The 20,169-nt window shown below is 56.2% G+C and overlaps 1 protein-coding gene and 2 pseudogenes across 1 annotated transcript, besides 1 other annotated feature; all 3 read left to right on the top strand.

Annotated features, from left to right (window-relative positions):
- Positions 617 to 2,505, top strand: SUSD2P2 (sushi domain containing 2 pseudogene 2; annotated as a pseudogene).
- Positions 13,925 to 20,029, top strand: RIMBP3 (RIMS binding protein 3). Its single transcript, NM_015672.2, has one exon. The coding sequence runs from the start codon at positions 14,410 to 14,412 to the stop codon at positions 19,327 to 19,329; it is 4,920 nt and encodes a 1,639-aa protein (NP_056487.1). The 5' UTR covers positions 13,925 to 14,409; the 3' UTR covers positions 19,330 to 20,029.
- Positions 17,491 to 17,691: a silencer, noted in NCBI's record as "peak4455 fragment used in MPRA reporter construct". NCBI's record gives its function as "represses an SCP1 promoter by STARR-seq MPRAs in K562 erythroleukemia cells {active_cell/tissue: K562}" and the evidence as "EXISTENCE:reporter gene assay evidence [ECO:0000049][PMID:32103011]".
- On the top strand, positions 19,742 to 19,979 carry RN7SKP131 (RN7SK pseudogene 131; annotated as a pseudogene).

Raw genomic sequence — 20,169 nt, 5'->3', positions numbered from 1 at the left:
GGGGAGCAGCCCTGGCCTTCTGCCCTGAGGGCGGAGCTCTCTTTGGGGTCTCAATTGCAGCCCCTGGGAGAGTGAGAAGGGTCAAGTTCAGACCCTGCACCATTCCCTACCAGGCCTCGAATGGGACTCTTGGCAGCTGTATCCCCCACCCCAGTCCAGGCAAGCAAAAGGGGTTCTTCTGCAGTCTTCAGGGCCCCCAGAAGGCGCACTGTTCACAGACACCCTGGGGAGCCAAGAGAGGTCGAGGGCTCCAGCTACCGTGGCCCTCTGAGGACCCCCGCCTGTGGGATAGAGGACTTGGTGGCTGAAGGGCAGTCATGCCCAGGGGGCTTCTCCTGACCCTGCAGGGCTGAGCGGGTGCAGCCTTTTGCCTCTTCTCGCTGCATTCTAGCCCATCAGTCAGGGCAACAGCCAGATGGTCTATGCTAAGATTCATCCCATCCCCACGGGCCCTGTGACTTTCTACCATATCAACGTGGTGGCCTGTGCAGTTCCCGGCCAGCATTTTCCTGGGGATGCTGCTGTCTAATGGGCTGTGGGAGAAACAGAGACAGGCCCTGCACATGGGGCAGCCAGTCCAGCACCCGCCAGGCCAGGCCCTCAGCATCCTCTCCTCCAGATGCCCAAGAGAGCTGCTCCATGCGCTGTGGCGCCCTGGACAGGCCATGTTCCTGCCACCCGACGTGCTCCGGCCTTGGTACCTGCTGCTTGGATTTCCAGGACTTCTGCCTGGAGATATTGCCCTACTCAGTCTCCATGATGGGCGGCAAGGACTTTGTGGTGCGGCACTTCAAGATGTCCAGCCCCACAGACACCAGTGTGATCTGCAGGTTGGGAGGCCCAGGAGGCCGGGCACTGGGGCCCCACGCCCCCATCCCTGTGCATGCTGAGGGCTCAGACCCACTGGCAGGCTGAATGGAGCCCCTCAGACCCAGGACAGGCAGGAGGGCACAGGACAGCTGGTTGGATGGGTTCCCCAGGGAGGTTGGGGGCCCAGACTGTCGAGATGCTCAGCCTGCAGTGGCCCAGCACCTCCTACCACCACCAGGCCCACAGGTTTGCATGCCACAGGAGAGCATCCAGACCCTCGGCCATGTGGACTCCTCCGGGCAAGTGCACTTCGTGTCGCCCCTGCTCTATGAGAGCGGCCACGTCCCCTTCACCATCTCACTGGACGATGGCCACTCCTTCCCTCGTGCGGGCACTTGGCTGGCTGGTGAGCCCTCCTCCCTGCCCACAGCCTGCCCCCACGGGGACTTTCCCCAGCGCTAATCTATGCACACCGAGACTTGGCCCGTCCGTGTCCTGCCTCTCTGGCTGAACCAATCCCTTGGGAGGCCTGCCCGCCTGCGAGAGTTCCTTCAGCTCCTTTCCACTCCCTGGCATCCAGACCACGGTCCCAGCCCAGAGTGAGTGGGAGCTGCAGGGGTCCCTAGAGAGGTGGGCCAGTGCCTATCCACTGAGCTCCGCCACACCAGGGCAGGGGAGAAGCCAGGTGGAGGCTAGAGGCGTGGGCAGTGGAGGGAGGGCAGGCCCCTGCCTCTCCGGCCTCAGCGTCCTTTTCTGCCATGAGGGCCGGAGAGACCATCACCCAGCTGCTGCCATGCATTGGCCCTGGAGGCTCCCACAGCCCTTGAAGCCTCAGGGCCTCCTCCCTGCTTCCCTGGGCCCAGCCCTCACTCACCCCTCACCTCCCCTGCCCAGTGCACCCCAACAAAGTGTTGATGAAGGAGAAGAGTGAGTTGATGAACGAGATGCATTGGCAATACTACGGCACCGCCAACACCTCAGGCAACCTCAGCCTGACCTGGCACGTTGAGGCGCTGCCCACACAGACACCATCAAGCTGTGGGGCTATGAGGAGACAGGTGAGGCCAGCTGAGGGCTAGGGTGGCATCCAGAGCTTTGGGCCCCCAGAGGTGGGAGAAAGGGAGTCCCAGCTGTGTGGGAGGAGGAGGAGAGTTTCCAGGTGGGGTTGAGGAGGGAAGGGAATTCCAGGCGGAGATTGAGGATTCGGATGGAGGGAAGTGCAGGCCAGGGGGGTCAGGCAGGTGGGAGGGGGCAGCTGCATGGGGCCTGGGTCCCGGGGAGGAGGCTCATGAGGAACCCCTCACGGCTGGCATGGCCCTGGGCCCGGCTTCCAGCAGGGACAGGGATCCTGGAGTGTGGCAGGAGGTGGTGGTCACCCAAGCCAGGGTCCCTGCTAGAACAGCCCCTCCTAAGGGGACCGCCTGGCAGTCCATCCACACATGTGTCAGGCTGCTCTAGGTATCAAGGCCTGGGGCCAGGCCTTGAAGGAGCCCCAGGGCTAACCAGGCCTTCTCTCCCTCAGGAATGCCCTACTCACAGGAGTGGACTGCAAAGTGGTCGCACCTGTACCCCCCAGCCACACACATCCCCAACTCCGGCTCTTTCACCTTCACCCAAAAACCTGCTCCTCCCAGCTACCAGAGATGGCGAGTGGGTGCACTTTGGATCATCGACAACAAAAATTACGCAGGGCAGGCTGGTTACGGTGGCTCACGCCTGTAATCCCAGCACTTTGGGAGGCCAAGGCGGGCGGATCACGATGATGTCAGGAGATCAAGACCATCCTGGCCAATGTGGTGAAACCCAGTCTCTACTAAAAATACAAAAAATTAGCCGGGCGTGGTGGCGGGCGCCTGTAGTCTCAGCTGCTCAGGAGGCTGAGGCAGGAGAATGGCGTGAACCCAGGAGGCAGAGGTTGCAGTGAGCCAAGATCGTGCCACCGCACTCCAGCCTGGGCGACAGAGCGAGTTTCAATCTCAAAAAAATGATAAAGAAAAAAAGAAAGGGCACATCCACTCTATGGAGTTCTCCCTCAAATCCTGTAACCCTAGTCTTATCATGGGCAAGCATCAGACAAACCTAAATTAGGGGACATTCAACAAAATAACTGTTCTTCAAAAGTGTCAAAGTCACAAAAGACATTGACAGACTGGGGAGTCACCACATATTGGAAGGGAGTAGGAGACACAGAGATTAAATGCCACCTGGTGTCCTGGGTTGGATGCTGGAACAGAAGCGGGGCATGTGTGGGAGACCTGGGAAATCCAGACGAAGTCTGAAGTTTAGGTAATAGGATTATATCAATATCTGACTCAGTTTTGACACATCAGCCTGGTTACTGCAGATGTTAAAATCCAGGGAAGCTAGGTGAAGGGTATATGGGAGCTCTGTGCTGTCTTTGCCACTCTCTGTAAGTCTAAAACCATTTCAAAAGAAAATGATTGAAAGTTGCTAGGATTCTCTCTCTGTTGCTGCACCTTATCCGTGGAAACCTCGTTTCAGGGATGATGCAGTGTGTGATTGCAGTCGCGGACAAAATATTCGATGCCTTCCTGAACATGATGGCGGTCCAGAAAAACAGATACACAGGGCCAGGCGCAGTGGCTCACGCCTGTAATCCCAGCACCTTGGGAGGCCGAGGCAGGTGGATCACGAGGTCAGGAGATCAAGACCACAGGGAAAGCCCATCTCTACTAAAAATACAAAAAAAAAAAAAAGGCCAGGCGTGGTGGCTCACGCCTGTAATCCTAGCACTTTGGGAGGCCGAGGCAGGCAGATCATGAGGTCAGGAGATCGAGACCATCCTGGCTAACACGGTGAAACCCCGTCTCTACTAAAAACACAAAAAATTAGCTGGGCGTGGTGGCGGGTGCTTGTGGTCCCAGCTACTCGGGAGGCTGAGGCAGGAGAATGGCGTGAACCCGGGAGGCGGAGTTTGCAGTGAGCGGAGATTGTGCCACTGCACTCCAGCCTGGGAGACAGAGCGAGACTCCGTCTCAAAAAAAAAAAAAAAGAAAAAAAGAAAAAATTAGCCGGGCGCAGTGGCGGGCCCCTGTAGTACCAGCTACTCAGGAGACTGAGGCAGGAGAATGGCGTGAACCCGGGAGGTGGAGCTTTCAGTGAGCCGAGATCGCGCCACTGCATTCCAGCCTGGGTGACAGAGCGAGACTCCGTCTCAAAAAAAAAAAAAAAAGAAAAAAAAAAGAGGTACACAGGCACCACCTGCCCCCAAGGAGCTCACAGCATCTTGAAGAGGCACCAAGGAAAACACCAGACGGTGTTGAGGGTTTGATGAGGTGTGGGGGCTCAGAGGAGGGGCCTCGCAGAAGCTGGGGGAGGAACCAGGGATGGAAGGAGTTCCCCAGTAGGCAAGAGGACAAGGAAAAGAAAGTGCCTTTGCTGGGGCAGGAAATGGGCACTGGACACTTATACCCTTCATTGGCACCATAGAGCAGTGCTAACATGTTCCATTTGATAGGAGAGAAAACTGTGGCCCTGGGAGAAGTGGCCCATTACTAGGCTAGGAGCTGGGTACCAGGAATTGGACCTCATCTAGAGCATGCAGGTGAGGCTTTGCCTCAACCTCCCTCTGACTACCTGAAGCCTCATCTCCCACATCCCTCGCTTCCCACAATCAGTGCTGTGCCACATCACACCCCCCACTATGCCCAGGCTGTTCCCTCTGCCTGTGGTGCCTTTGCCATTCCCTCCCACTACACTCCCCATGTCCATCGTGGCAGGGACTCAATTTATCATGCTCCCTTAGGTAAGCTGACAGGAAGATGCTGCTGGACCCCTTTGATTTTTTTTTTTTTTTTTTTTTTGAGATAGGGTCTGGCTCTGTCACCCAGGCTGGAGTATAGTGGTGTGATCATGGCTCAGTGCAGCCTCAACCTCCTGTACTCAAGTTATCCTCCCACTTCAGACTCTCAAGCAGCTAGAACTACAGGTGCACACCTCCATGCCTGGCTAATTTTTGGGAAAAAAATTTATAGAGACAGTTTGTCTCTATATTACCCAGGCTGGTCTGTAACTCATGGACTCAAGAAATTCTCCCACCTCAGCCTCCCAAAGTACTGGGATTACAGGTGTTAGCCACCACACCTAGCCTGGACCCTTCTGAGTGCAAAGGCAGCACCCAGCATCTCTGTGACTCCCCCAACAGCCCGCTGGGTCAGAACTGCTATCAACCCCATTTACAGAGGAAAAAACTGAGGCTCAAGCTGTTCCTCAGCTTCTCAGTCATCTGGCTGGTCAGAGGCTCAAGCCCAAGTCTGTTCTTGAACTGTGAGGGCCAGACCAAGTCCTGAGGGGACTTAGATAACCTAAAGGACTCCCTCTTTCTTTCCTTTCTCCCTCCCACCTTCCTTCCTTTCTATCCTCCTTCTTCTCTCTTTTCCTTCCTTCTCCTTTCCACCTTCCTTCTACTCCATTCTCTGTGCTTAGTGAATGAAGAAATTAACACATTACTTGGCCCTTGTCCTCCCCTGTCTAGATTGCATGCTTAACAAACATTTGATGAAGGACTGTCCTCTGACCTAGAGCTATGGCCAAATGACAGAACAAATGGTCATTGCTACTCGTGCCTTTGGGAAGTGGGCAAAGCCTCAAGTTTCAGGCTGCAGAGGAAGGAGGGTGATTGAAATAGATCCAGCCCGGGAGCGGTGGCTCATGCCTGTAATCTCAGCACTTTGGGAGGCTGAGGTGGGCAGATCACCTGAGGTCAGGAGTTTGAGACCAGCCTGGCCAACGTGGTGAAACCTCGTCTCTGCTAAAAATACAAAAATTAGCCAGGCGTGGTGGCATGCACCTGTAATCCCAGCTACTTGGAAGGCTGAGGCAGAAGAATCGCTTGAATCCAGGAGACAGAAGTTACAGTGAGCCAAGATTGTGCCACTGCACTCCAGCCTGGATGATAGAACGAGACTCCATCTCAAAAAAAAAAAAATAGATCTAAAGGGAAGAGAAATGGAGATGCTACAAGACAGAAGATACGTCTGTCCTGGCAGCAGTGTGGAGCTGGGAAACAGAGACGCTGACAGCAGCAATGGGGATCTCAGGAAGCAGTGCCTGCTTGTTCAAAGGCTCAGGGATTACAGTAACACTCAGGCTGCCAGAGCCAGAGGGCAAGACCCTGCAAGCACCAGTTCAGAGCCCAGACTCAGGTCACACAGACCTGCCCATAAGTCCCTGTGTGACCCTGGACAGTTTCCTTCTCTGGAGAGGAGAGTGCCAGGCTCTCTGGCTATGGGGAGGATTCAGCGATGAGGCTTGTAAAGTGCAGATGGGAAGGGGCTGACCACTCGCTGCAGAGGCACATGAGCTGGGGAGCTGGGCCAGGGCCACCAGGGCAGGAAGCCAGCCCAGTAGGCCAGGGGGCCCCAGCCAGAGAGCTAGAAGCTCGCACCATACTGCCCTCCTGGCCCAGGAAGATGTGGACCAGCCAGGCAGGCTGCAGGGCCCAGGAAGAGCAGCACGGTCCCTCTCCAGGTATCCAGCCCCATCCAGTGCTGGGGGATGGAAGGAACTCCACTGGAACTCAGCGGGTTAGGGTCTGGCCAGGTGACCCTCCCTCTCTGAGCTCCAGTCCTCCCTGCACCCTCAAACGAGGGTCATGATAGGACGGGAAAATATCAGTGCAAGAAGGGATGTGAGTGCCCTGAGGGTGGTGGGCATGGGTGAGGGCTGGTACAGATAGCCAGACTGCAGGAGGCTGGGGGTTTGCAGCTCCAGTTCCCACTGCCTGAAATCGCCTCCCAGCTCCTCTGGCAGCCCTCACTCCCTCTCCTTCAGCTCTCAGCTCTTGTGTTTCCTCCTTGCCTCATGCAGGAAGCCTGCTCTGATGCGGCTCTTCTCCCCATGAGCACCACATTCCTCACCCAGAGCACTCGCCCAAGCGCCAATGTTACTACATTCCATTGTTGTTTGTATTTAACCTTTGCATTCTCCCCCAAACTGAGCCCTGAGGAACCCAGTTTGAAAACCATTCATGTAATCCATCACTTTCATTTATTGTTTGTTTGTTTATTTATTTATTTATTTTGAGACAGAGTCTTGCTCTGTCACCCAGGCTGGAGTGCAGTGGCACAACCTCAGCTCACTGTAACCTCCACTTCCTAGGTTAAAGCAATTCTCCTGCCTCAGCCTCCCGAGTAGCTGGGATTACAGGCAACTGCCACCACGCCCGGCTAATTTTTGTGTTTTTTAGTAGAGATGGGGTTTCACCATGTTAGCCAGGCTGGTCTCAATCTCCTGATCTCAAGTGATCCACCCACCTTGGCCTCCCAAACTGCTGAGATTAGAGGCGTGGGCCACCATGTCCAGCTTCACTTTTATTTCATAGGTGAGAAAGCTGGACCGGGAGAGGGTAGGAGCTTGGTGAGCCCATGCTGGGACACCTGCCTCCCAGTCTGCAGCTCATTCTCATAGATCATGGACTGTCAATTCCCTAAGGACAGCAGCCACATCTGGCCTGTCTGCCTCTGTCTTCTTCAGTCCTGTATTTACTGAGCACCTATCATGTGCCAGGCACTGTTCTAGACATGGAGGAGACAGCAAAGAACAGACAGAAAACACATAGAAACAAAAATAAAAAATATGTGGCTGGGTATGGTGGCTCATGCCTGTAATCCCATCCCTCTGGGAGGCTGAGGTGGGAGGATCACTCGAGATTAAGAGTTTGAGACCAGCCCAGGCAACATAGGGAGACCCTGTCTCTACAAAAAAAAAAATTAAGTGTTTTTTGTTTTTTTTTTTTTTTGAGACGGAGTCTCACTTTGTCGCCAGGCTGGAGTGCAGTGGTGCTATCTTGGCTCACTGCAAGCTCTGCCTCCCGGGTTCACGCCATTCTCCTCCCTCAGCCTCCCAAGTAGCTGGGACTACAGGCGCCCGCCACCACGCCTGGCTATTTTTTGTATTTTTAGTAGAGACGGGGTTTCACCGTGTTAGCCAGGATGGTCTCGATCTCCTGACCTCGTGATCCGCCTGCCTCGGCCTCCCAAAGTGCTGGGATTACAGGCGTGAGCCACCGCGCCCGGCCAAAAATTAAGTTTTTAATAAATAAAAATAAAGGATATGGAATGAAAAGCTGGGGGAGCTACTGTAGCAATGGGGGATGGGAAGCTTAAACCCTCCTGCAGGCTCTCAGGATGGAGCCCATTCCCCTCCTCAAGGCCAGGCAGGCTCCACAAAGCTTGGGGCTTTGGTAGCCGAACAGAAATGGAGCCAGGCCATGCCGGCAGGAGAAGGATGTGAACCAGGTTGCCCAGGAACCCAGACTCCATGGCCCAAAAGTCATAGACTGGGGTTGTAGAGAGAGGGAAAGTGGAATACAGAGCTGGCGATGTGGAGCCAACTGAGATGTAAGGGGGACATATCGCCTTCTCTCCGGGTCAGGGAAGTCATTACGTACTGGGATGGGGTATGTGTGTGTCGTGTGTGTGTGAGCACACAATGGGCAAGAGGTCCTCTAACCCAGGGGTTCTGAAACTTGTTTCAAGGAGCATAACGCTTTATTAAACCAAAACCCTTCTTCGAATCTGATAAGTGACACTTAAGAGTAGATCTGCCGGCCGGGTGCTGTGGCTCACACCTGTAATCCCAGCACTTTGGAAGGCCGAAGAGGGTGGATCACGAGGTCAGGAGATCGAGACCATCTTGGCTGGCATGGTGAAACCCCATCTCTACTAAAAAATACAAAAATTAGCCGGGCTCGGTGGCGGGCGCCTGTAGTCCCAGCTACTCGGGAGGCTGAGGCAGGAGAATGGCATAAACCCGTGAGGCGGAGGTTGCAGTGAGCCAAGATTGCACCACTGCACTCCAGCCTGGGTGACAGAGCGAGACTCCGTCTCAAAAAAAAAGAGTAGATCTGCCCATTGAAGCAAGTAGGGGCACTGTCTCTCCCCATCCGCTTCCTGCATACCTCCTCCCAAAAGGCCTATGGTATTTCTGTTTTATTTATTTTTATTATTATTATTGTTTTTATTTTGGGGGGGTGGGTTTTTTGTTTTTTTGGTTGTTTGAAACAGGGACTGGCTCTCTCGTCCAGGTGGAAGTGGAGTGGCACAATCTCAGTCCACTGTAACCTCTGCCTCCCAGGCTCAAGGTATCCTTCCATCTCAGCCTCCCAAATAGCTGGGACTACAGGCGTGCACCACCATGCCAGGCTAAATTTTGTAATTTTTTTATAGAGATGCAGCCTTGCCGTGTTGTCTAGGCTGGTCTTGAACTCCTGAGCTCAAGTGATCTGCCCGTCTCAGCCTCCCATAGTGGTGGGATTACAGGCATGAGCCGTCACATCTGGCCTGTTGTTAATTTTTTTTCTTTTTTTTTTGACTCAGACTCTCACTCTGTTGCCCAGGCTGGAGTACAATGGCGTGATCTCAGCTCACTGCAACCTCCACCTCCTGGGTTCAAGCAATTCTCCTGCCTCGGCCTCCCGAGTAGCTGGGATTACAGGCACCTGCCACCATGCCCAGCTAATTTTTGTATTTTTAGTAGAGACAGGGTTTCACCATGTTGGCCAGGCTGGTCTTGAACTCCTGATCTCAAGTGATCCACCCACCTTGGCCTCCTAAAGTGCTGGGATTACAGGCATGAGTCACGGCGCCCAGCCTACAAAAAAAAAAATTTTTTTTTTTTTTGAGATGGAGTCTTGCACTGTCACCCAGGCTAGAGTGCAATGGCATGATCTTGGCTCACTGCAACCTCTGCCTCGCGGGTTCAAGCGATTCTCCTGCCTCAGCCTCCCGAGAAGCTGAGTCTACAGGCGCCTGCCACCACACCCAGCTAATTTTTTGTATTTTTAGTAGAGATGGGGTTTCACTATATTGGTCAGGCTGGTCTTGAACTGCCCAAAGTGCTGGGATTACAGGCGTGAGCCACTGCGCCCAGCCAGCACAGGAGTTTTGACCTGCTCCTTTTCGTTTTCCTTTTTCTTTCTTTCTTTTTTTTTTTTTTTTTTTTTTGAGATGGAATCTCACTCTATCGCCCAGGCTGGAGTGCAGTGGTGCAATCTCAGCTTGCTGCAACCTCCACCTCCCAGATTCAAGCAATTCTCCTGCCTCAGCCTGCCGCGTAGCTGGGATTAGGCATGCATGCGCCACAATGCCTAGCTAATTTTTGCATTTTTAGTAGAGACGGGTTTTCACCATGTTAGCCAGGCGGGTCCCGAACTCCTGACCTCAGGTGACCTGCCCACCTTGGCCTCCCAAAGTGCTGGGATTACAGGCATGAGCCACCGAGCCCGGCCAACCTGCTCCTTTTCTAACCTGGGCCAGTTCACCTCTCCTTAGACAAGCTGGTGGTTTCCTGCTCCCAGGAAGTCACCAATTTATGCCAAGTTTAGTGCAGACACCCCATCAGTATAGTACATTACAATCCAGAAGTCCTGGATCCAAGCAAGCCTCCTGCCTCAGCCTCCCAAGTAGCTGGGAGTATAGGTGTGTGCCCAGCAGTTCTATATTTCCAAGGAACCCTGGAGCCCTAAAGAACCCAGTTTGAAACCACCACTTTCAGGCTGGGCATGGTGGCTCATGCCTGTAATCCCAGCACTTTGGGAGGCTGAGGCCTGTGGATCACTTGAGGTCAGGAGTTCAAGACCAGCCTGGCCAACATGGCGAAACCTTGTCTCTACTAAAACTATGAAAATCAGCTAGGCATGGTGGCAGGTGTTTGTAATCCCAGCTATTTGAGAGGCTGAGGCAGGAGAATCACGTGAACCCAGGAGGTGAAGATTGCAGTGAGCCGAGATCATGCCACTGCACTCCAGCCTGGGTGACAGAGTGAGACTCCATCTCAAAGAAAAAAAAAAGAAACCATCTCTTTCATTTAATAGGTGAGAAAGTTGAACCTGGAGAAGGCAGCAGCATGGTGAGCTCATGCAGGGACTCCTGCCTCCCTGCAACTCATTCTCATATGTCTTGGGCACCAGTGATGTGCTAAGTCACATGCACGGATGCAATAGGGACAAGGGAAAACATGGCTTCTGCTCTCCCCAAGATCAGAGTTGATGGGGGTGACAGGCAGGTCACTGGACAATCACTGCACAACATGATGAGAACAGGGATGGCAGAAACCCAGCCCTGGGGAAGCCTGGCTTTGCTCATCCACTCAACCAACATTCCCGAATGCTTTTGACATACTTTGGGGCAGCTGCTGGATGGTAACTGTGGGGTTCCCAGAGACCCATCCACCCCAGTGTCCTTTTTCTTGGTGACAGCCTACTCTCTTTTTTTAATTTTAATTTTAATTTTTATTTTTGAGATGGAGTCTCGCTCTGTCGCCCAGGCTGGAGTGCAGTGGCGGGATCTCGGCCCACTGCAAGCTCCACCTCCTGAGTTCATGTCATTCTCCTGCCTCGGCCTCCCAAATAAGTGAGACTACAGGTGCCCGCCACCACGCCTGGCTAATGGCTAATTTTTTGTATTTTTAGTAGAGACGGGGTTTCACCATGTTAGCCAGGATGGACTCTATCTCCTGACCTCGTGATACGCCTGCCTTGGCCTCCCAAAGTGCTGGGATTACAGGAGTGAGCCACCGCACCAGGCTTTTTTTTTTTTTTTTTTTTTTTGAGACAGTCTTGCTCTGTTGCCCAGGCTGGAGTGCAGTGGTGCCATCACAGCTCACTGCGACTTTGACCTCACCTTGCAGGCTCAAGCAATCATTTCATCTCAGCTGGAAATGCAGACTGGGTCTCGCTCACTCTGTTGCCCAGGCTAGTCTCAAACTCCCGGGCTTAAGTGACCCTCCCATCTCAGCCTCCTGGGTAGCTGGCACTACAGGCATGCACCAGCACGCCCAGCTAAAATTTTTTTTGTAGAGACAGGGTCTCTCTATGATGCTCAGGCAGGTCTTGAGTTCCTGGGCTCAAGTGATCCTCCCACCCTGGTCACCCAAAGGGCTGGGATTACAGGTCTGTGCCACCATGCCCGGCCCAGCCTGCCCTCCTGACCTGACAGTTGAGGCCCTACTGGAGACTGCAGCAGGGCATCCAGGCTGTGAAACCCCACCCACCAGCTCTGCCTCAGTTGCCCATGTGCCCTGGCAAGCCAGTGGCTCTCACTGAGCCTCAGGTTCTCTTCCGTAAAACAGGGCTGTGATGAAGATTCTCTCAAGATAGTCCTCCCTGTGGCTACCATGCCCAGGAGCCCAGCACCAGTTCAAGGCTAAGGCCATCCCTGCATCTCACCTCCCCTTCCTCTCACATACACACTACATCTGCCTCACCTCTCATAAAGAACATCTGGGCTGGGCACGGTGGCTCACGCCTGTAATCCCACCATTTTGGGAGGCCAAAGTGGGCGGATCACAAGGTCAGGAGATCGAAATCATCCTGGCCAACATGATGAAACCCTGTCTCTATTAAAAATACAAAAATTAGCTGGGCGTGGTGGCGCATGCCTGTAATCCCAGCTACTCAGGAGGCTGAGGCAGGAGAATCACTTGAACGAGGGAGTTGGAGGTTGCAGTGAGCCGAAATCGTGCCACTGCATGCCAGCCTGGTGACAGAGCAAAACTCTGTCTCACAAATAAAATAAAATAAAATAAAATAAAATAAAATAAAATAAAATAAAGGGCCATGCGCCGTGACTCACGCCTGTAATCCCAGCACTTTGTGAGGCTGAGGCGGGCAGATCACAAGGTCAGGAGATCGAGACCATCTCTACTGAAAATACAAAAAAAATTAGCCAGGCATGGTGGCGGGCACCTGTAGTCCCAGCTACTTGAGAGGCTGAGGCAGGAGAATGGCGTGAACTCAGGAGGCGGAGCTTGCAGTGAGCAGAGATTGCGCCACTGCATTCCAGCCTGGGCGACAGAGCGAGACTCCATCTCAAAAAAAAAAAAAAAAAAAAGAACATCTGGAGCCATAATTCCCGATGTTCTTGTTACTTGACACTGCCTAAAGGCATGTTCTGTGGGTTCCGGGGAAACTGATTTGAAAAACTTGAGTGTTGTAAAGGAGGGCCATAAGCTGAGTGAACACAGCAGTTGTGAGAGGTCCCAGGTGCTTCCTGGGGACAGGGAGACACGACAGACCAAGAAGCAAAGGGGCCTCTGATGTGACTTCAATATCAAGGTCTTGTCGGGCACAGTGGCTCATGCCTGTAATCGCAGCACTTTAAGAGGCCGAGGCGGGTGGATCACTTGAGGTCAGAAGTTCAAGACCATCCTGGCCAACATACTGAAACCCTGTCTCTACTAAAAAGTACAAAAAATTAGCTGGGCATGGTGGCTCAAGCCTGTAATCCCAGCTACTTGGGAGGCTGAGGCAGGAGAATCTCTTGAACGTGGAAGGTAGAGGTTGCAATGAGCCAAGATTGCGCCACTGCACTCCAGCCTGGCGACAGAGTGGGGCCCCATCTCAAAAAAAAAAAAATCAATGTCTCGATGCAGACTGCCAGGTATCAGGTGTCCATCCATGTCTCCCAAAAGCCACTTGGCACCAGGAGCAGACAGGAAGGGCAAAGAGGAGCCAGACTGAAGCAGGGCTTCTTAGCTCCCAAGCCACACAGGTGGCCACCAGTCAGAGAGGCAGTGTGTGTGTGTGTGTGTGTGTGTGTGTGTATTTCTTCAGTTCAGTGTGTGTATGTATGTTTCTTCTGCAGCTCAGTGTATGTGTGTATTCCTTCAGCTCAGTATGTGTGTGTGTGTATGTTTCTTCTGCAGCTGTGTGTGTGTGTGTGTGTGTGTGTGTGTGTGTGTGTGTGTTTCTTCTGCAGCTCAGGATGCCTCCAACATTTCTGCTGAAGCCTCACCCTCACTCCTGGCCCATCCTGAGGCCTCTACCTAAGATGCCAATGAGTAGCCCAGACACTGGGGCTCCAGTGTTTGTCACCAGGTGGTACCTGGATGTGGGAGGTAGACAGGCCAGATGGCCAGTTTGGGCAGTGCCCCTCATGCCTATCTGGCCCTGGGTCCCTATGCCACCTTGCTGGGGAGGGTCTTTTCGCTTACACCTCCTCTGAGCCGACTCTGCGCAGTAACACAAATGTGTATCAGGCACATCCTTTCCTCAAAAGGTGGATGACCAGTTGGGTGATCAGGGCTGTTAGGGGGCTGAAGGGTCCTGGGGAGTCCAGGTCTAGCCAAGTTGAGGCCTATCCTGCTGCATTTTCCAGCCACCTGACCCAAATACACCACCTGAACCCACGACCAGGTATGCCCACACCCCATGGGTGGCCTTAACACACACACCCTGCCCCTTTCTCCAAGTACAGGAGCAGCAGCCCAGACTTCCCTCGGGGCACCGCGGCCTGCTTGGGACTGCACAGTGCCTGGGAGGGTGCCTGGGGAGGGTCACAAGGGACTTGGTGCTAGAAGCAGGAAAAGTGTAGGGACCGGAAAAGCCCCCGTGCATCCTGGAAGGGACATGGGCCAGTTTGAGCAGGGGTGTGGGAGTCCAGCCCTGGCCTTGCCAGGTGGAGAGGCGCCTGGGCCAGACATCCGCGGCAGGAGGCGGGGGAACATGCCAAGAGGCGGAAGGGGCACGCGGAGACCCCCAGGGGGCGCCGGAAGGGGCGCGCCGGGCGGTCGGCGGCGGCCGTTGGCGAGCTGAGGCCTGCCAGGCGAAGTCTGGAGACCAGCCGGGCCGCGGCCGCAATGGCCAAGGACTCGCCCAGCCCCTTGGGCGCGTCGCCCAAGAAGCCGGGCTGCTCCAGCCCGGCGGCGGCAGTGCTGGAGAACCAGAGGCGGGAGCTGGAGAAGCTACGGGCGGAGCTGGAGGCGGAGCGGGCAGGCTGGCGGGCGGAACGGCGGCGCTTCGCTGCCCGGGAGCGCCAGCTGCGTGAGGAGGCCGAGCGGGAGCGGCGACAGCTGGCTGACCGTCTGCGCTCCAAGTGGGAGGCACAGCGCAGCCGGGAGTTGCGGCAGCTGCAAGAGGAGATGCAGCGGGAACGCGAGGCCGAGATCCGGCAGCTGCTGCGCTGGAAGGAGGCCGAGCAGCGGCAGCTGCAGCAGCTGCTGCACCGGGAGCGCGATGGCGTGGTGCGCCAAGCCCGGGAGCTGCAGCGCCAGCTGGCCGAGGAGCTGGTGAACCGCGGCCACTGTAGCCGCCCGGGGGCGTCCGAGGTTTCCGCGGCGCAGTGCCGCTGTCGCCTGCAGGAAGTGTTGGCGCAGCTTCGCTGGCAGACTGACGGCGAGCAGGCGGCGCGCATCCGCTATCTGCAGGCGGCGCTGGAGGTGGAGCGCCAGCTCTTCCTCAAGTACATCCTGGCGCACTTCCGCGGGCACCCGGCTTTGTCGGGATCACCGGACCCCCAAGCTGTGCATTCCTTGGAAGAACCGCTGCCCCAGACCTCCAGCGGCTCTTGCCACGCCCCCAAACCCGCCTGCCAACTCGGATCTCTAGACAGCCTGAGTGCTGAAGTCGGTGTGCGCTCCCGCTCGCTAGGCCTGGTGTCCTCTGCGTGCTCCAGCTCCCCAGACGGCCTGCTCTCCACGCACGCCAGCTCCCTTGATTGCTTCGCACCTGCGTGTTCCCGCTCGCTTGACAGCACCCGGAGCCTCCCCAAGGCCTCCAAATCCGAGGAGCGGCCCTCCTCACCAGACACCTCCACCCCTGGCTCCCGGAGGCTCTCGCCGCCACCATCGCCACTCCCGCCGCCACCACCACCGTCAGCCCACAGGAAACTCAGCAACCCGCGGGGAGGAGAAGGCTCTGAGAGCCAGCCCTGCGAAGTCCTGACTCCCTCACCCCCGGGCCTGGGCCACCACGAGCTGATAAAGCTGAACTGGCTGCTGGCCAAGGCGTTGTGGGTGCTGGCGCGCCGCTGTTATACCCTGCAAGCGGAGAACAAGCAGCTGCGGCGTGCAGGCTGCCCCTACCAGGCAGACGAGAAGGTGAAGCGGCTCAAGGTAAAGCGCGCGGAGCTGACCGGGCTCGCGCGGCGCCTAGCTGACCGCGCCCGCAAGCTGCAGGAGACCAACCTCCGGGCCGTGAGCGCGCCTATACCCGGCGAGAGTTGCGCCGGCCTGGAGCTGTGCCAAGTCTTTGCCCGCCAGCGCGCTCGGGACCTGTCGGAGCAGGCGAGCGCGCCGCTGGCCAAGGACAAGCAGATCGAAGAGCTGCGGCAGGAGTGCCACCTCCTGCAGGCGCGTGTCGCCTCGGGTCCCTGCAGCGACCTGCATACTGGAAGGGGCGGCCCCTGCACCCAGTGGCTCAACGTCAGAGACTTAGACCGCCTGCAGCGCGAGTCCCAGCGGGAAGTGCTGCGCCTGCAGAGGCAGTTGATGCTTCAGCAGGGCAACGGTGGCGCTTGGCCCGAGGCGGGCGGCCAGAGCGCAACCTGCGAGGAGGTGCGACGGCAGATGCTGGCGCTGGAGCGCGAGCTGGACCAGCGGCGGCGCGAGTGCCAGGAGCTGGGCGCGCAGGCGGCCCCGGCGCGGCGACGTGGCGAGGAGGCCGAGACACAGCTGCAGGCGGCGCTGCTCAAAAACGCCTGGCTGGCGGAGGAGAATGGGCGGCTGCAGGCCAAGACCGACTGGGTGCGGAAGGTGGAGGCTGAGAATAGCGAAGTGCGCGGCCACCTGGGCCGCGCGTGTCAAGAGCGCGATGCCTCCGGCTTGATCGCCGAACAGCTGCTGCAGCAGGCGGCGCGCGGGCAGGACAGGCAGCAGCAGCTGCAACGCGACCCGCAGAAGGCCCTGTGTGACCTCCATCCTTCCTGGAAGGAGATACAGGCGCTCCAGTGTCGGCCTGGTCACCCTCCTGAACAGCCCTGGGAGACCAGTCAAATGCCGGAGTCCCAAGTTAAAGGTAGCAGAAGGCCCAAGTTCCACGCACGGCCTGAAGACTACGCAGTGTCACAGCCCAACAGAGACATACAGGAGAAAAGGGAAGCCTCCCTCGAGGAGAGCCCAGTTGCCCTTGGGGAGTCAGCCAGTGTCCCCCAAGTTTCAGAGACAGTCCCTGCCAGCCAACCTCTGTCCAAGAAAACCAGCTCCCAGTCAAACTCCTCCTCTGAGGGGTCGATGTGGGCCACCGTGCCGTCCTCCCCTACTCTGGACAGGGACACAGCCAGTGAGGTGGATGACCTGGAGCCTGACAGCGTGTCCCTGGCCCTGGAAATGGGGGGCTCGGCGGCTCCTGCTGCCCCCAAGCTCAAGATCTTCATGGCTCAGTATAACTACAACCCATTTGAGGGGCCCAATGATCACCCTGAGGGTGAGCTGCCCCTCACAGCTGGGGACTACATATATATCTTCGGGGACATGGATGAGGATGGCTTCTATGAGGGGGAGCTTGAGGATGGCCGGCGGGGGCTGGTGCCCTCCAACTTCGTGGAGCAGATTCCGGACAGCTACATCCCAGGCTGCCTGCCTGCCAAATCCCCTGATCTTGGCCCCAGTCAACTCCCAGCGGGGCAGGATGAAGCTCTGGAGGAAGACAGCTTATTATCTGGGAAAGCCCAGGGAGTGGTGGACAGAGGGCTGTGCCAGATGGTCAGGGTGGGCTCCAAGACAGAAGTAGCAACAGAGATCCTGGATACCAAGACGGAAGCCTGCCAGCTGGGCTTGCTGCAGAGCATGGGGAAGCAGGGCCTCTCCAGACCCCTTCTGGGGACCAAAGGGGTGCTCCGTATGGCTCCCATGCAGCTACACCTGCAGAATGTCACAGCCACATCAGCCAACATCACCTGGGTCTACAGCAGCCACCGCCACCCCCATGTGGTATATCTTGATGACCGAGAGCATGCCCTGACCCCAGCGGGCGTGAGCTGCTACACCTTCCAGGGCCTGTGCCCCGGCACGCACTACCGGGCGCGGGTGGAGGTGCGGCTGCCACGGGACTTGCTGCAGGTGTATTGGGGAACTATGTCCTCCACCGTCACCTTCGACACACTCTTGGCAGGACCTCCCTACCCACCGCTGGATGTGCTGGTGGAGCGCCATGCCTCGCCAGGTGTCCTGGTGGTCAGCTGGCTCCCTGTGACCATTGACTCAGCTGGGTCCTCCAATGGAGTCCAGGTCACCGGTTATGCTGTGTATGCAGATGGGCTTAAGGTTTGTGAGGTCGCCGATGCCACTGCTGGGAGCACCCTATTGGAATTCTCCCAGCTACAGGTGCCCCTCACGTGGCAGAAGGTCTCAGTGAGAACCATGTCACTCTGTGGTGAGTCCCTGGATTCAGTGCCTGCTCAGATCCCCGAGGACTTCTTCATGTGTCACCGATGGCCAGAGACTCCACCCTTTAGCTACACTTGTGGCGACCCATCCACCTACAGAGTCACCTTCCCCGTCTGCCCCCAGAAGCTGTCACTGGCTCCTCCGAGTGCCAAGGCCAGCCCCCACAACCCTGGAAGCTGCGGGGAGCCCCAGGCCAAGTTCCTAGAAGCATTCTTTGAAGAACCCCCAAGGAGGCAATCCCCAGTGTCCAACCTGGGCTCAGAAGGAGAATGTCCGAGTTCAGGGGCTGGCAGCCAAGCCCAGGAGCTTGCAGAGGCCTGGGAGGGCTGTAGAAAGGACCTGCTCTTTCAGAAGAGTCCCCAGAACCACAGGCCACCTTCAGTCAGTGACCAGCCTGGGGAGAAGGAAAATTGCTCCCAGCACATGGGCACCAGCAAAAGCCCTGCTCCAGGATTCATCCATCTACGCACCGAGTGTGGGCCCAGGAAAGAACCGTGTCAGGAAAAGGCTGCCCTTGAGAGGGTACTTCGGCAAAAGCAAGATGCCCAAGGGTTCACACCTCCCCAGCTGGGCGCCAGCCAACAGTATGCATCTGACTTCCATAACGTTTTGAAGGAGGAGCAGGAGGCACTGTGCTTGGATCTGTGGGGCACAGAGAGGCGAGAGGAGAGGAGGGAGCCTGAGCCCCACAGCAGGCAAGGACAAGCTCTGGGGGTGAAGAGAGGGTGCCAGCTCCATGAGCCCAGCTCGGCACTGTGTCCAGCTCCATCCGCCAAAGTCATCAAGATGCCCAGGGGTGGCCCCCAACAGCTGGGGACGGGGGCCAACACTCCAGCCAGGGTCTTTGTGGCCCTCTCTGATTACAACCCCCTGGTGATGTCTGCCAACCTCAAGGCTGCAGAGGAGGAGCTGGTCTTCCAGAAAAGGCAGTTGCTAAGAGTGTGGGGCTCTCAGGACACCCATGATTTCTACCTCAGCGAGTGCAACAGGCAAGTGGGCAATATCCCCGGGCGCCTAGTGGCTGAGATGGAGGTGGGGACAGAGCAGACTGATAGGAGGTGGCGTTCTCCGGCCCAAGGGAACCTGCCTTCTGTGGCCCACCTCGAGGACTTTCAGGGGCTCACCATCCCCCAGGGTTCCTCCCTGGTGCTCCAGGGGAACTCCAAGAGACTCCCACTGTGGACTCCAAAGATCATGATAGCAGCTCTGGACTATGATCCTGGGGATGGGCAAATGGGGGGCCAGGGGAAGGGCAGGCTGGCGCTGAGGGCAGGAGACGTGGTCATGGTTTACGGGCCCATGGATGACCAAGGATTCTATTATGGAGAGTTGGGCGGCCACAGGGGCCTGGTTCCTGCCCACCTGCTGGATCACATGTCCCTCCATGGACACTGAGCAAGCATCCTTGCCCAGGTAGTGGCCTCTGGCTGCTCACACCCTGCCAGAGGAGAAGCAAGCGTTCAGACCCTCACACCAGCACCCCTCCTCACCACCATAAGTAGCATGTGCTCCAAGTGCCACTGTGTTAAACTGATGGTAGTCCTTAAGCGTCCCCTAGGCTCTGAAAGTAGCAGGACTTAAGCCTGAGTTATTTGCAAAAGCAAACACAACAAGCCAACCCCTGAGAGTCTGAGAAGCCATTTCAAAGTTGCTGATAACTATGGCAGGTATACGGAGAAGCGCCTTTTTCTGTGGCCAATGTGTGTTTTCTCTGGGAGGTTAAGGTTATCTGTCCATTGCCTTGTACGAAAGTCTCAAGAAAAGTCTACATCTTAAAAAAGAAAAAGCAATCTGAGTGTTATTTTTGGGATGTGAGGGTGATCTGGCTGCGACATGTGTCACCCCATTGATCATCAGGGTTGATTCGGCTGATCTGGCTGACTAGGCGGGTATCCCCTTCCTCCCTCACCACTCCATGTGCGTCCCTCCAGAAGCTGTGTGCTCAATGGAAGAGGATGACCATCCCCGATAGAGGACGATCGGTCTTCAGTCAAGAGTATAAGAGTAGCTGCGCTCCCCTGCTAGAACCTCCAAACGAGCTCTCAGAATGTTATTTTTCTGTCTTATGTCCAACCCCTCATTAAAATGTTCATAGAAAAAACATATTTTAGAAGTTGAAGCACAACCAAGGAAACATGAGCCTGGCTTTCCTCCCTCTCACTTCTGCGCATTGGGTCCGCAAGGGCTACAGAAATGTTTTCCTGGCTGAGGAAGGGAGGGTGCACCCTTCTGCTT

Source organism: Homo sapiens, chromosome 22 (genome assembly GCF_000001405.40).
Source record: "Homo sapiens chromosome 22, GRCh38.p14 Primary Assembly".
NCBI classification, from domain to species: Eukaryota; Metazoa; Chordata; class Mammalia; order Primates; family Hominidae; genus Homo; species Homo sapiens.
Note: the sequence above shows the minus strand (reverse complement) of the source record. Positions and strands in the feature narration are given on the sequence as shown.